Source organism: Homo sapiens, chromosome 2 (genome assembly GCF_000001405.40).
Source record: "Homo sapiens chromosome 2, GRCh38.p14 Primary Assembly".
Lineage (NCBI taxonomy): Eukaryota > Metazoa > Chordata > Mammalia > Primates > Hominidae > Homo > Homo sapiens.
Window position 1 is genome coordinate 43961047 of NC_000002.12, and position 16033 is coordinate 43977079.

A 16033-nucleotide genomic window follows, 5' to 3' on the forward strand; every position below is an offset into this window, starting at 1 on the left:
TATGAGTCAAAATTTAGCTCAAATACATTTATTGAATCATTTTATTATAGTATATTAAAAAACCACTTAATCAGCAATAAGCAAGGATAAAAAATAAATTATGGCATACCCATACAATGAAACAGCATACAAGCATAAAATATATTTTGTGGAATTAAATACTGTTATGAAAAGGTGTCAAATGAAAAAAAGTTCATCATGAAACAAATATGAGAGAAGTGTAATTTTTCTTCAGGTCTCTAGTAAGCCAGAAACAGAGACTTTTAGGGGGAGTTTGAAAGTAATGAAGGCAAAAAGAAGTAAGTTTTTAAAAGGAAAATAAGAATGTTCTTTCTTTTTATTAAACTATAGCCTCTGTCAAGTTAGGTGGATAATAGGAACAGTATAATAAGAGTTGCTCGATAATATGAACAGTATACTTTCTTGCTAAAAGAGATTTCTCCAGCCTAGTATACATCTGAAAGAACATACATGCTAAGCAATGACTATCTCAAGGAACTATGGACAGATTGTACAGCCCTACCACTTACTTGTGTTCTCTAATTTATCAACAAACATTTATTATGTAATTTCTGAAAACTAATTTAAAAATGTACTTTTTAATGCCCAGCTGAAGACAAAAGGCATTATCAGGTAGGGCGCAGTGGCTCACACCTGCAATGCCAGCATTTTGCGAAGCCTAGGCAGGCTGATCACCTAAGATTAGGAGTTTGAGACCAGCCTGGCCAACATGGTGAAATCCCATCTCTACTAAAAATACAAAAATCAGCTGGGTGTGGTGGTGGGCACCTGTAATCCCAGCTACTTGGGAGGCTGAGGCAGAAGAATCGCTTGAACCGGTAGGCAGAGGAGGTTGCAATGAGACCAGATCGCACCACTGCACTCTAGCCTGGGCGACAGAGCAAGACTCTGCCTCAAAAAACAAAGAAAAAAAGCAGATCAATACTGTGAGTTCTATTAAGCACTTAACAGAGTAGTTGTTTTCAATCCCAAAACACTCAATACTACTGAAATTCCAGCAATGAAGGCAACATAGTTGAGATGAGAATGAATGTAACCAAATTTGGGATAAGTTTCCAAATTAGATCTGCTGTTCCCTAAGATAAGTCACTAGTGAGAAAGCCAAAGCAGTAACCACAAAGACACTGATCTGGGGGCTGTATTTCTGCAAAGAAAGAAAACATCTGAAAAAGTAAGAATATGTGGGAAAGTTACTTAAAAAATTTTTTTTAACAGTAAAATATGTATAGTACAGGCTCAACATACTCCACTAAGAACTTAGGGAAAGAGGTGAAGACACTGAAGATATAAACCCTAACACTTCAGAAGACTGTAATTATGTAATTATTTTAATGAAAGAAACACTCTAACATTATTAGAAAAATCAAGGTATTACATGAATGACTGTGTAGGAAACATCTCTTAAACAACATGTTCCTTATTAGGTATTAGGTGCTCTGCCAACTTGTTCCTAACTGCACAGCACTTTTTGTTTTGTTTTTGTAATTCATATATTCAGCGCTAAGCATGCTGTTTTGAAAGTGGAAAACGCAACCTTTGCTAATCCAATGCACTGTCCCAATCAACATCTTCATGTGCCTCTTCATCAACAGCTTGCCTACTCTGCTAAGGACCAGAAGTAGAAAACTTCTGGTAGAAAAACAAAGGTTTGAAGTTTAAAAAAAGAGAGAGAGACAGAAAGACTAGTATATATACTATTAGTGCATTTATGAAAATTTATGGGAAGTGAAAAATAATATTCAAAAAGTGAAAACTGAAGCAGGGCACAGTGACATGTGCCTATAATCCCAGCTACTCAGGAGGCTAAGACAGGAGGATTGCTTAAGCCCAGAGTTCAAGACCAGCCTGGATAACATACTGAAACTCCTGTTTCTTTAATAAAATAAAATAAAACCTAATTTATAAATGAAAATTGCAGGGGCATTTCAGGATGGGATTAGGAGTTAATATTGTTTTAATTTTTCCCGATATTGGCATATTGTCTTTTTAATACACAAGAAAAAAGCTGCTTTGTCTTTTTGAGTTTTGAAAGTTTAACCACTATAAATGTTATACCAACTAATATTTTTACAAAGCTTTAGAAAATTGTATACAGGGCCAGGCGCGGTGGCTGATGCCTGTAATCCCAACACTATGAGAGGCTGAGGCAGGTGGATCACCTGAGGTCGGGAGTTTGAGTCCAGCCCGACCAACATGGAGAAACCCTGTCTCTACTAAAAATACAAAATTAGCTAGCCATGGTGGCGCATGCCTGTAATCCCAGCTACTCGGGAGGCTGAGGCAGAAGAATTGCTTGAACCCAGGAGGCAAAGGTTGCAGTGAGCCAAGATTGTGCCATTGCACTCCTGCCTGGGCAATGAGAGAGAAACTCCATCTCAAAAAAAAGAAAAAAAGAAAATTGTATACAGATTTGACCATTTTGAGTCCTCAGTTCAATGACTTTTTTGTGTGTCAACACTAAACATTAAGGAGGAAAGATATCCTCTTCAATTATTAAATTAAAACCACACTTGTACTCACCTGCAAAATGGCTCGTGCTGAGTTTACACTATCAAAGCATGGAATCACATAATCTGTATATGTTTCCTGATCAGGATGTACTCCCAATTCTTGCATTCCTTTGAGGATTTCAATTATACCTACCAAATAAAATGTAGAAGCACAGAGATAGAGAACTTAGAATAAAGTAAGAAAAGATCGGTAAGTTCAGTTCAATTATTTTCTGAATCACAGTATAAGAAAATTACTCAGCAATTCGTTTGTCTAAAAGGCAGAAAAGAAACACTGTGAGATACAATGATAAAAAAATTAACTCCTCCTTTCTTCATCCCCCTCTGTGAAACAGTAAATTTCAAGAAACTATCCTTGAAATTATAAGTATAAAGAAACTTGAAACAATTAAGCAATGTGCCCAACATTTCTGGCACCCCAAACAGTGATTATAATACAACACTGCTATTATAGAGCAATGATGGACTTGTACACAAAAAATTTGACCAGAATAAATGCTGCAAAGAGAAGTGACTGATTTCAAAACATGTTTTCAATTAAGCACTTATGTAAAAAGTTCCCTAATTGTTACTAATTTCTGATTTCATATTTTACAATGTAAGAAGGAAAAATTAATAGAGAACAATTTAATGAATTATTGTCTAATTGTATTTAAAACTAACTTAAAAATCAAATAAGTTGTTTCCTCTATCTCATTTCCCACTCACAAAAATCTCTTTTAATAACTTCTTAAAAATTAAGTCATTTCATGTTTTCAGAGCTACAGTGAGTTTCAAATAGATCCAGTTAATTCTAGACAACTGTCAGATTACTCAAGTATCACCTAATTTGACAGAGGCTACAGTTTAATAAAAAGAAAGAACATTCTTATTTCTCCTTCTAAAAACTTACTTATCTTCAGCTTCATTACTTTCACATTATTAAAACTCCCCCTAAAAGTCCCTGTTTCTGGCCTACTAGAGACCTAAAGATAAATTACATTTCTTTCGAATTTGTTACATGATGAACTCCAGTACAAATAATTGACAGTAAATTCCTACTGAGTACAGAAAAACACAAGCAAGTCTAACTACATTATAAATACCTGCACATTTCTTTTAGATAAAATTTAATTATGTAAAAAAAAAACTATAATTTTTTTTAAAATTTAGGTTATGAATCAGAATATTTTAACTTTAAACAGTTCACCATATACAAAATTACCTAATACTGGCCTAAAAACAGACAAATAGACCAATGCAACGGAACAAAGAATCTAAAAATAAACCCACACACATATAATCAACTAATTTTGACAAAGGTACCAATAAATGGTGCTGGAGCTGCAGGCAGTGGTTCACACCTATAGTTTCAGCTATTCACGAGGCTGATGCAGGAGGACTGCTTGAGCCCAGGAGGTCAAGTCCAGCCTGGGCAACATAGCAAGACCTTGTCTTTTTTTGAGACTGAATATTGCTCGGTCGCCCAAGCTGGAGTGCAGTGGTGTGATCTTGGCTCACTACAACCTCCACCTCCCGGGTTCAAGCAATTCTCCTGCCTCAGCCTCCTGGGTAGCTGGGATTAAAGGCGCACGTCACCACGACCAGCTAGTTTTTGTATTTTTAGTAGAGATGGGGTTTCACCATGTTGGTCAGGCTGGTCTTGGACTCCTGACCTCGTGATCCTAGAGATGGGGTTTCACCATGTTGGTCAAGCTGGTCTTGAACCCCTGACCTCGTGATCTGCCCGCCTCAGCCTCCCAAAGTGTTGGGATTACAGGCATGAGCCACCACGCCCAGCCTGGACCCTTATCTTATACAATACACAAAAATCAACTCAAAATAGATTAAAGACTTAAACTTGAAACCATAAAACTCCTAGAAGAAAACACTGGCCTTGACAACGACTTTTTGGACTTGAGACCAAAGCACAGACAATAAAAACAAACAGTGAAGTGGAACCACATCTAACTAAAAAGCTTCTGCACGGTAAAGGAAACAATAAAATGAAAAGGCGACCTATGGAATGCGAGAAAATATTTGCAAACCACGTATCTGATAAGGGGCTAATACCTAAAATATATAATAAGGAACTCACAAATTTCAATAGCAAAAAAACCCCAAATAATTCAATTAACAAATGGGCAAAGGATCTGAATACACATTTTTCCAAAGACATAAAAATGGCCAACAGGTTTATGAAAAGATGCTCAACATTACTAATCATCAGGGAAATGCAAATTTAAGCCACAATGAGATATCACCTTACACCTGTCAGAATGGCTACTATCAAAAGTCAAAAGCGATTAGACAGTGGTGAGGATGGAGAGAAAGGGAACCCTGGTCTACTGTTGGTGGGAGAGTATGGAGATTCCTGAAAAACTTAGAAGTAGAATTACCAACAATCCCACTTCTGAGCATATGTCCAAAGGAAATAAAATCACTATCTTGAAGAAACATTTGTTCATCCCAGCATTATTCACAGTACCCAAGATGTAGAAACATGCTGTCAACAGATAAAGAAAATGTGGCATATATACACATATAGAATGGAATATTATTCAGCCTTAAAAACAAAGAAAATCCTGTCATTTACAACAACATGAATGAACTTGAAGCACATGCTAAGTGAAATAAGCCAGATACAGAAAGATAAATACTACATCATCTCACTTATATATGGAATCTACTAAAAAAAAAAAAAGTTGAACTCTGTTATGGGACTGGGGTGTGAGTGAAAAGGGATGATGGTCCATAGGTATAAATTTTCAGTTATACGGTAAATAAGTTCTGGACACAATGTACAGAATACTTGATATTTGCTGAGAGAGTTGATCTCAAGTGTTCTGGCCACAATATTTTTTTTTTTTTGAGACGGAGTTTCGCTCTTGTTGTGCAAGCTGGAGTGCAATGGTGCGATCTCAACTCACAGCAACCTCCACCTCCTGGGTTCAAGCGATTCTTCTGCCTCAGGCTCCTGAGTAGCTGGGACTACAGGCGCACGCCACCACGCCGAGTAATTTTTGTATTTTTACCAGAGACGGGGTTTCATCATGTTGGCCAGGCTGGTCTCAAACTCCTGACCTTGTGATCTGCCTGCATCTGCCTCCCAAAGTGCTGGGATTACAGGCATGAGCCACCACGCCCGGCCAATACAAAATTTTTAAAAAGGTAACTAGCTAAAAAAAAATAAAAATAAAAAAATAAATAAAAGCCCAGCACGGTGGCTCACACCTGTAATCCCAGCACTTTGGGAGGCCAAGGCTGGTGGATCACCTGAAGTCAGGAGTTTGAGACCAGCCTGGCCAACATGGCACAATCCCATCTCTACTAAAAATATAAAAATTTGCTGGGTGTGGTGGCACACACCTGTAATCCCAGCTACTAGAGAGGCTGAAGAAGGAGAACTGCTTGAACCCAGAGGGCAGAAGTTGCAGTGAGCTGAGATCACCCCACTGCACTCCAGCCTGGGTGACAGAGCCTCCATAACTAGCTGAGGTGATGGATATGTTAGCTTGACTGTGGTAATGACTTCACAATGTGTACACATATCAAAATGTAGCCAGGTGAGATGGCTCATGCTTGTAATCCCAGCACTTTGGGAAGCCAAGGTGGGAGGATTGCTTGAACCCAGGAATTTGAGACCAGCCTAGGCAACACAAGGAGACCCCTGTTTCTACCAAAAAAAATTATTTGAACTAGCCAGCCATGGTAATATGAGCCTGTGGTCCCACTGAGGCTGAGGTGGGAAAATCTCAAGCCTGGGAGGTCAAGGCTGACAGAGTGAGACACTGTCTCCAAAACATCATGTTGTTTATCATATAGATAGATGATCGATTGATAGAAAGACAGATATAGATTTAGCTACACAATTATTAATCCTTCATACCTCAGTAAAGTTGGCTGGGAAGAATAAATAAATAACCTAATATCTTCAAATCTAAGAGGTTTAAATGTATTTTTCAAGATGTAAAAATAATGTTTTTAATTAGCCAGGCATGGTGGCAGGCGCCTATAATCCCAGCTACTGGGGAGGCTGAGGCAGGGGTATTGCTTGAACCCAGGAGGCAAAGGTTACAGTGAGCCAGTATCACGCCACTACACTCCAGCCTGGACAACAGAGCGAGACTCGGTCTCAAATAATAATAATAATGTTTTTTAAAATCCCTAAACAAAGCATGTGCTTACTGAAATTTAAGAGAACATGCATGTAGAGTTGGTCCACACTGCACACAGAAGCCTAACAATACTTGTAAGCGAAATTTAAACTATTCCTCTAATAATTCACTGGGTATCACTACTAACAACCTTGATAACTACCATAAAAGATGGCAAATCCCACTGTGCTCTTCTTTATATGAAAAGATTACTAAGCACCTGACATGATGACATAGCTAAGTTGCTTCTGAATTCCTAGTAATAGATTTGTGTTAATCTTATGTCCTCAGTGTCCTTTCTGACCAGTAATAATTGTTTCCAGGACAATTATTATTTAGTTAAAGTAAACGGCTAAGTTGCTGGTGAGATACTCTGGTGAAATGACAAAAAAAAAAAGGCTTTGGACTTTAAAGACCCAGCTCTCCCCCTTAGTTCTGGTACTTAATAGCAATGTAAATCTAAGCAAGTTGTCGCATGTTTCTGAGCCATAATTTGGTGGCTTACACACTAGAAATGGAAATATGCCAGGAACTGTGCTTCCAGACGCTTTTACACATATTCCTTTGCTAAATCTTTCTAACTACCATCCATGGACTATGCAAGGCAATATGTGTCGAAGCACTTAATGAATAATTTTCTGACCTATAAGAGTCTATGCCTATTGAATAGATGGAAGTTCCAAGAACTGAAATATTATACATAGGCATGGAAGAAATTCTTGTGGTCTAAATTCTTAGGGCAAGATTGCAGACAACAGAACTATAACATTCTGGAAAAAAAGAATTTTCAATATTACCACTTGGCTTAGATCAGTATGTCAAACTCCAAGGTTTCAATCAGGGTTTGGGTGTGCTTCTCTACATAAAGAAAGCTGAAATGCCTTTAGAAGTCAACTAATCAAGTGAAATAAGCTAGACACAGAAAGACAATACTGTCTCACTTACATTAGAATAAAAAACAGTCGAAAACTCACAGAAGCAGAAAGTAGGACAGCAGTTGCCAGGGACTAGGGTGAGGGAGATATTGGTCAAAGGGCACGAACTTTCTGTTAATAAGATGAGTAAGTTCTAGGGTTCTAATGTACAGCATGGTGGCTACTATTAGTAATACTGTATTGTTGACTTGAAATTGGTAAAAGAACAGATTCTAAGTGTCCTCACCACACTCATGCACACAGGCATACACACAAATGGTTAACTATGGGTGTTGAAGGTTTATGGTTGTTAATTAACTTGACTATGGTAATCAGGACACAATGTACCTGTATATAAAATCATTATATTGTACACCTTGAATATATATAGTTTGTGTCAATTTTTAAAAGTGGGGTAAAGAAAGTCAATGAATCTTCTAACAAAAGTATAAAGTAATTTCTCCAAGATCACAAGCATAACTTGAGTAAGAAACCAAGTCTCAGTCCGGGCGCAGAGGCTCACGCCTGTAATCCCAGCACTTTGGGAGGCCGAGGCGGGTGGATCACAAGGTCAGGAGATCGAGACCATTCTGGCTAACACGGTGAAACCCCGTCTCTACTAAAAATACAAAAGATTAGCCGGGCGTGGTGGCGGGCGCCTGTAGTCCCAGCTACTTGGGAGGCTGAGGCAGGAGAATGGCGTGAACCCAGGAGGCAGAGCTTGCAGTGAGCCGACATCACCACTGCACTCCAGCCTGGGCGACAGAGCGAGACTCCATCTCAAAAAAAAAAAAAAAGAAACCAAGTCTCTTAATTCCTGGCAGGTGCTTGTTACACTACAAAAAATGCTAAAGCCTACATGTTTTTCCTGCAATCAGAAAGAACTGGGATTAAGTCCTTGTTCTGCCACCAAAAAGGATGATTTTCAGTGGCTCCTTGTTGCCAATATAGGAATGATGATAATAAAGCTCCCCACTTAACTCTCAGGGTAGTCACTAAATTTAAAGGAAAAAATATGTGCAGAATCCTAAAACTACTAAATAACTGGGTGTGTGGTGTTTTGTTTTTGATTTTTTTGTTTTTTGAAACAGCATCTCACTTTGTCACGCAGGCTAGACTGCAGTGGCTACGATCAAGGCTCAATTGCTAAGCTCTAGCAATCCTCCCACCCCAGCCTCCCAAGCAGCTAGGAGTATGCCACCTCGCTCGGCTAATTTTTCTATTTTTTTGTAGAGACAGGATTTTGCCAACTTCCCAAGGCTAGTCTCAAAATCCTGGGCTCAACTAATGCCCCTACTTCAGCCTCCCAAAGTGTTGGGATTACAGGTGTAAGCCACCACACCCAGCCTAAATAAATGTTAATAGGAGCAATAATAACTTAATTTTTTTCAGCTGTATCAAAATACTGTAATAATACATAATCCTGAAAAGTTTCTCAGATGATAGATTTTTCAGTGTTTGAAAACTGGCCACCAAATTGACTGCAGCTACAAGATTCTTATTCTTACAGGAAACCCTTCACCCCATCTTCTAAGCCTCAAATATGTTTCATTCTCTTAGTTCTTCATTTTTCCAGTAACATTTATCAGAAGGAGGAGTATGTTCTGCTCATTTACATTATCTATTTTGCTGGCATTTTTAACTTACATTATCTTTCTAACTGAAACTAAAGCAGGCTCAAGAAAACCTGGGATCCCACCTTCTGCTCAATCACTCGCTCAGGCAGCCTGAGAGAGCAGACAAAGAAAGATATTCTGTTCAGTAACTATAGTCAGATGGGGGGATAGAAGCACTTACCAATAAGAAGGAAAGACTGATCTATCTGAACAAATTCTAATAAAAAATACAATTCACATTTCTTTTCACAAGAAAAAGATTAAAATAATCTTACATTAACTTAGATATAAATAGATTCCAAACCTCTGTGAACACAGAAAGTCTAAACTAAGACTAAATAATCTAATAAAAATATTTCAATATAGCCATGAGAAAGTTGATCAATCTAGAGGAAAGTCTCCATTTAAAAAGTTTAATGAGAATTATAACAGCTCACCAACTATCAGGAATGATATATGATTTGCCTGAACAACTTTCACCAACTATGACTGTTTCATTCCACAGGATTTTACACTCTAGCCACGGCACTCACTTTATTAGGAGGCAACTGCTTCCTCTTTGAAAAGTAAGTTCCGCCAAGAGTGGTGGCTCACGCCTATAATCCCAGCATTTTGGGAGGCTGTGGCGGGTGATCACGTGAGGTCAGGAGTTTGAGACCAGCCTGGCCAACATGGTGAAACCCCGTCTCTACTAAAAATACCAAAAATTAGCTGGGTGCAGTGACGCATGCCTGTAATCCCAGCTACTCAGGAAGCTGAGGCAAGAGAATTGCTTGAACCTGGGAGGCAGAGGTTGCAGGGAGCCGAGATAGTGCCATTGCACTCCAGCCTAGACAACAAGAGCGAAACTGTGTCAAAAAAAAAAAAAAAGCAAGTTCCTTCTATTCAACCACTTCACTCAACTGGCATTTGGGCTTTCTGATCAGCCCTTCTTTATGTATTTTATCCCTTTCACATTCTCATTTCTATGTTTTCTAAATATGCCCAGGGATATAGATCCATATTCATTACAGGTTATTTCCTGAAAGTCAGGCCAACTGGCTAGAGATGCATTATTCTAAGTGATAACTTTTCACTTGTGCCACAGAGATAAATACTAGTAAGATGAGCCATGAGGAAGTAATTATAAATATCTTTCTTGGAGGTTGGTGATGGCTAAATTTGCAGCCAGAAAAATTCAACAGAAACTTGATTATTATACAGGGCACATGCCCTCAGGACCTCCTGAGGCTGTGTCACAGTAAAAAAAAAAAAAAAAAAAGAAAAAAATATATATATATGTTTTTTAAAAGAAAAAAAAAAGACACTTGATTATCCTATTGTTGAAAACTCTTGGTTCCACTTTGTCTGATCCCCAAATATCTTTGATTTTCTGAAGAGATGTATTTATTCCTCATGAAACACAGCACATCCTCCATCACTGCAGTCACTTTCTTCTGTGATTTCTACCATTTTATACGTGACTTTCACTGGACAAAGAACAAGTTCATTGCACTAATAAGAATGTTACTTTCTTACCTTACACTAAAGAAACTATAAAGAATACATACAGCCATTTCTCTGTTATATAAAAGAAGACTGTAGAATATATACTTTACTATCTTTCAGGACCTACTGCAAAGAAGAATATATTGTTTTTAAAAATTGTAAAACTGACAATCTTTTGCACTCTCAGAACACACAATATAAAAGCATAAACTTTTATATTTTTTCAGACAAAACCTTCATCGATTAAAAAATTCACTCTCTTTTAGCAATGTTATTCGTGTAAAAACTGGCAACTAATTTTTAAACAGCAGCTAAGAATTTTTAGAAAATAAACACAGTATAGTACTTACAAAAGCTGAATATGGAAGGGTTATAGTATAAAAAAGGATATTTTAAAAGGAGGACAGAAACCCTCTATTCTAATCCCAGCCTAATCACACCTAGACGTGGAAGCTAAGGTCAGTCACTGAATGTCTGTGTGGCCCTCAGTTCCTTCATTCACGTAATGTGAGCTTTCAGTACAGCACTTTTAAAATCTAAATTCTGAGATTCTAAGACAAGATGGATTTGAGATAAAGCCCATTTTCTACTATTTCAACTGCTACAACCATAGAAAGAAATTACCTAACTCTTTTATGTTTACTAAGTAGTAAAAATGTAGTAATCAATTCAACTGTGACATGGTTGTGGAAAGCAGATTAACCTGATGAACAAACATTTCAACTGGTACCAAAAAAATTTTCATACTTGTGTAAAGGTGGACAATACTAACATGCCTGAAGAGTTTGATGGAATGATGTAAACTTTCTGTGGTTCCAAAACACTGGGTTATAGGTTACCTTTTGGAGCTTTCAGACTGGAGGATATACAAAGAGTTAATCAAACTAGCATATTGTTTTCACAAAGATTTTTCTAAAAAGGATTTAGAGACTTTTATAGCCAGAAACAATTAGGGAATACTTGTTTCACTATTTCCTTTAAACCAGAAGACGGCTGTACATTTAAAATAAAATTGCAATATGAAAGTCTGCTAAAAGCACTTTTTTTGTTGTTTGTGCATTCTGTTTGTCACCCAATGTCACACTAACAATTCTGCATCTCATTCCAAAGCACATTATACTTCGAGATAAAATGAAAAAGACCATTTTTTGTTTCCCCAAGGGGAAAGTACTTCTGTTAAAAGCATCTTTTTATGAGACTACTCTTTCTGAATTACCAATAATGCAAACCGAAGAATTAGATACTGTACTCTAAAATTTAATATTTGTTCAATTCTTATTCATATCCTATAGACATCCCATGTGTACAAGGGAAAAGTATGATAAATGCTTAAACGTACTTAAGAACCTGAAAGATTGAACATTTTTGTCCTTCAATCAGCAGGCTGTCAGGTCATGAGTACTCATTTCACAATAAAAGTTTTCCTGCCTTTCCTATTATTCTAACTAAGCTCAGTTAAAAAGAAATAGATTGGCCCACAAAGAAAATGACCATACTTTTTGTTTTCATGAACCTAATTGTATATACAACTTTATCTTTATTAAAGGTAGACAATCTGATTTCAAACACTATATATAAAATCAAGAACTAAAGAGTTTTTTTAAGAACTTAAAAAAACTACGTTCATTAAGTTTGAATATCAAGATCAGAGATGAAATAAGAAATGAAATTAATGAAATTCAGATGAAAGAAATCCATCATGTTTTGTTTTTTAAAATGCTTACACATAATACTTCATGATGACTTAAAACAATTCCATTATCTCATAATACTCAGGAATAAGTATGCTTTTCCAAAGAATCCAATTAGATGTGCGTGCAAACTGTCATACTGGCTCTGGGAACCATTACAAATCGGTAAAAGGCAAAATCTAACCTTGAACATTTTTTTCCTTCCGACGTCCAACTAGCAATGGCCAGAAATAGTGAGGTCTGATAGGAAAACCTTCCTCCTTCACAGCCTTCATTAAGGCTTTTGCCAAATCTGAAAGAGATATCATAAAAGATCACAAAGCTACCTCAGCAAAACTTCCTTACTTGGCTTTAACTTTAAGAATGTAGTACCAGTTTTATTGGCGAGTAAAGCACAATGGAGGGTGAACTGCAGAGGAAAGGAGTGCATCTGGACTTCCTTTAACTTCTTACAGTAGTCTGTTAGCTTCTCCACAGGCTGTGGGAAAAAAGTCACCACATTAGCTGGATTGGCAAACACCCCACCGTTTGACCTGCTGCAAATATTCTACCACTTCTGAGATGAGCATTTTAAACCCCGCATCCTCTTTCTACCCAAAAATCTTGCAACACAAGAACATTGTTATGATGTTTACAACTGGTCTAATCTTATAAATGTTCCTATACTTTAAAGAATCTTATTTCACTGCCAATTACATTGTCTACAAAGTAAAAGTGGACAGAATACCGTATTCATAGTCACACAGTGTTGTAAAAAGAAACTGCCAAAGACACTTGGGCCATCTTCCTTTGATACGGGGCATGCTAGTAAAATTTGCAACGCTACATCTTCCAATTTTTCAGTGACTAAAAGTAAAATGAGGTTCATTGCATCTGGGAAGAAAACAAAGACATCTTTTGTTAATAAACTGAACAATATTTTTACACTGCAACCAATGTTCCAATACTGAAGACAAAATAAGAATTGCAAACATCAAAAGCATATAACTGCCTAAATAACAATAAAACACCTGCAAATCAAATCATCCCCATGTGTTCATTAACTCATGTTTTTGGGCTTATTTAACTGACTTTAAGAGTTCTATGTTCAACTCCCACAATGCCCATTGTTAGAAAATGTCCTTTCCATCATGTAAGAATAGCAATTCAGATTTTTATAAAAATCATGTAAATAGATTTTTTTAAAACTACCTGGAATATATCTTCTTTCACATGTAACTTTTTCCAAAATTTCTGAGACATACTGAGGATACCCAGCTTTACTGAAGCTAAAAATAATTTGCAGTAAATCACGGTCCATAAGGTGAAGCTCGGACTTCTCCACCTTCTCCAGAGTCTATAGAGAGTTCCAGAAATTAGAAGACAAAGTTAGAGTGTTTTTATTTAAGTATTAAAGCTAAATAAAATATCCAGATTCAAAAAACTAGGGAAAAATACCACCTAAAGGTTTACGACTTCTTTTAAAAAACAGGAAATACTCTACTTCAACAGTAACTGTTACATACCAGCACCGAGATACTAAACTATAATAATTCTCCATAAATACTACTTTCTGCAAGGAAACATCTTTGAAAACAGGTATAAACTTCACTTTCCTGCCTCATGTAAAACATAACACAAATTTTTACAAATGATTTTAAAGTATGTTTATTTAGACATAAGTCATACCTGCTTAACATGGTCAATGTCGCCCTTCTCAGCATATGCATTCAATAATGCGAGGTATGTGTCTGGACCAGGCTCAATTCCGGCATCTCTCATCACTGTGAGAATGTTTTCTGCATTCTCCATATCACTACAAGTTAATTCAAAAAACAGATTATTATGCTTTTGCCAAATTTAATATAGTTATTCAAACTAAAACATATGCTTATTAAAATAAAAAATGCTAAGTACCATTTGGAATTATGATGTCAGAAAAGAACTAATGTATATTAAACTGGATATATGTTTCTGAAATAATAAAGATCATAAACATCTGATCCCCCATTAAAAAATAATAATAATTACATAGACATTAAATAACATACCCTCTTAATATTATGTAGGTTATGACTCAGACTTAACTTTCGAGGTAAGAATAACATTTAGTAAATTACTCTTCAAAAATAAAAATATTTTCCAGAGCAGTTACTTCAGATCAGATCAAGCCCAGTTTCTTTTTTCTTTTTTTTTTTTGAGATGGAGTCTTGCTCTGTCTCCCAGGCTGGAGTGCAATGGTGTAATCTCGGCTCACTGCAACCTCTGCCTCCCGGGTTCAAGCAACGCTCCTGCCTCAGACTCCCAAGTAGCTGGGATTACAGGCACCTGCCATCATGCCCGGCTAAATTTTTATATTTTTGTAGAGACCGGGTTTCACCATGTTGGCCAAGCTGGTCTTGAACTCCTGACCTCAGGTGATCTGCCCACCTCAGCCTCCCAAAGTGCTGGGATTACAGGCATGAGCCACCACGCCCGGCTTCAAGCCCAATTTCTAAAAATTCAAATAAAAGAAAGATTTGTGGAACAAATGTAAAAGCTCATTATAAAAATATTAGTATGCTCTACCTCATATACTACAGATTTTTTTTTGAAGGGATAGACAAATGTATTTTAAGAACTGTCTACAATAATTTTCTCTAATTTAAACCCCACTTAACAAACAAAAAAGGAGTAAAATGACCACTTTAGCATCTCAGCCATCTATCACTTAAGAACCAAAACCTTAGGTTGAACATTACCCAGCTCTGGCATGCCCTGTCACAAGGGCACTGAATACTGCCTCTGTAACTGGGAGATCCTTAGTTTTCATAAATCCAAGAATCTTGCTGCAAAGGAAAAACGAAGATACTCATTGAAAGTATTTATAAGAACACTCTTTACAACATGTACAGAATTAGGCCTTGAGTTACTTTTGTTTTTAAAATATAATAGTAATATACATTTGTTTTAGAAACCACAAAGAAAGAACTAATCCCTTTGATCCCCTTCCCACAAAACCCCACTCTCTAATGTATCAACAGTCTTGAAGTACTATCGATACAAATACTAGATTTTTAAAAATCTGATTATCTGATTTGTCTTACACTACTAATTACCCTTTTAAAAGCATAGTTTCATAAGATTCTTTTAGATAAAAATGAAATTATGTATTCCAATTTATCCCTTATTTTCCAAACCTTCCATTCATAAGTAGTAATAAATTTTACATAAGCAGAGAAATGGTGCAACTGATTTTCTACACTACTTCCAGTTTTATAAATGAATACAGCTTAAATGGTTAAGAACATTTCCCTTAGGAAATATTTAAAAAAAAAAAAAAAAAAGCAAAGTCAGCTTTATAGCTCAACAACTTTATACCTCTCTCCAGTAAATCAAATTTTTAATTAAAATAGCAACTTTTACTTATCTTTTCTCTCTTACACGATAATTTTATATTTTATGTAAGTCAGATTACCAGATTTTCTAGATTAAAACAGTTCTGAAACAATTTCCTCCATTAGGAAGAAGCTTTAAAACAAAGAGTGAACAGACATTAGATTTACAAAATGTACAAATTTGTTCGCTTAAACATGTTCATACAGATCCATACCTGGCACCTTCAATATCTCCTACATTACAATAAGAAGCAATCAATCTCTGGTATGTCACCTGTCAATGAAATGGGCCAGTTAATTT

General features: G+C 36.5%; 1 protein-coding gene across 5 annotated transcripts in view; it reads right to left on the reverse strand.

Moving 5' to 3' along the window:
- Positions 1-16033, reverse strand: part of LRPPRC (leucine rich pentatricopeptide repeat containing) — a 110042-nt gene that overhangs the window by 74823 nt on the left and 19186 nt on the right. For all 5 annotated transcript variants that reach the window (XR_007068563.1, XM_047442809.1, NM_133259.4 and 2 more), the window contains exons 5-12: positions 15948-16006; positions 15097-15183; positions 14045-14171; positions 13568-13712; positions 13104-13249; positions 12749-12854; positions 12561-12668; positions 2542-2660 (exon numbers count right to left, since the gene is read on the reverse strand). Coding sequence is in view for 4 of the 5 variants with exons in the window: in XM_047442809.1 (XP_047298765.1) it covers positions 2542-2660; positions 12561-12668; positions 12749-12854; positions 13104-13249; positions 13568-13712; positions 14045-14171; positions 15097-15183; positions 15948-16006 (897 nt within the window). In the remaining variant the exon portion in view is untranslated. The remainder of the gene's footprint in view (positions 1-2541; positions 2661-12560; positions 12669-12748; positions 12855-13103; positions 13250-13567; positions 13713-14044; positions 14172-15096; positions 15184-15947; positions 16007-16033) is intronic.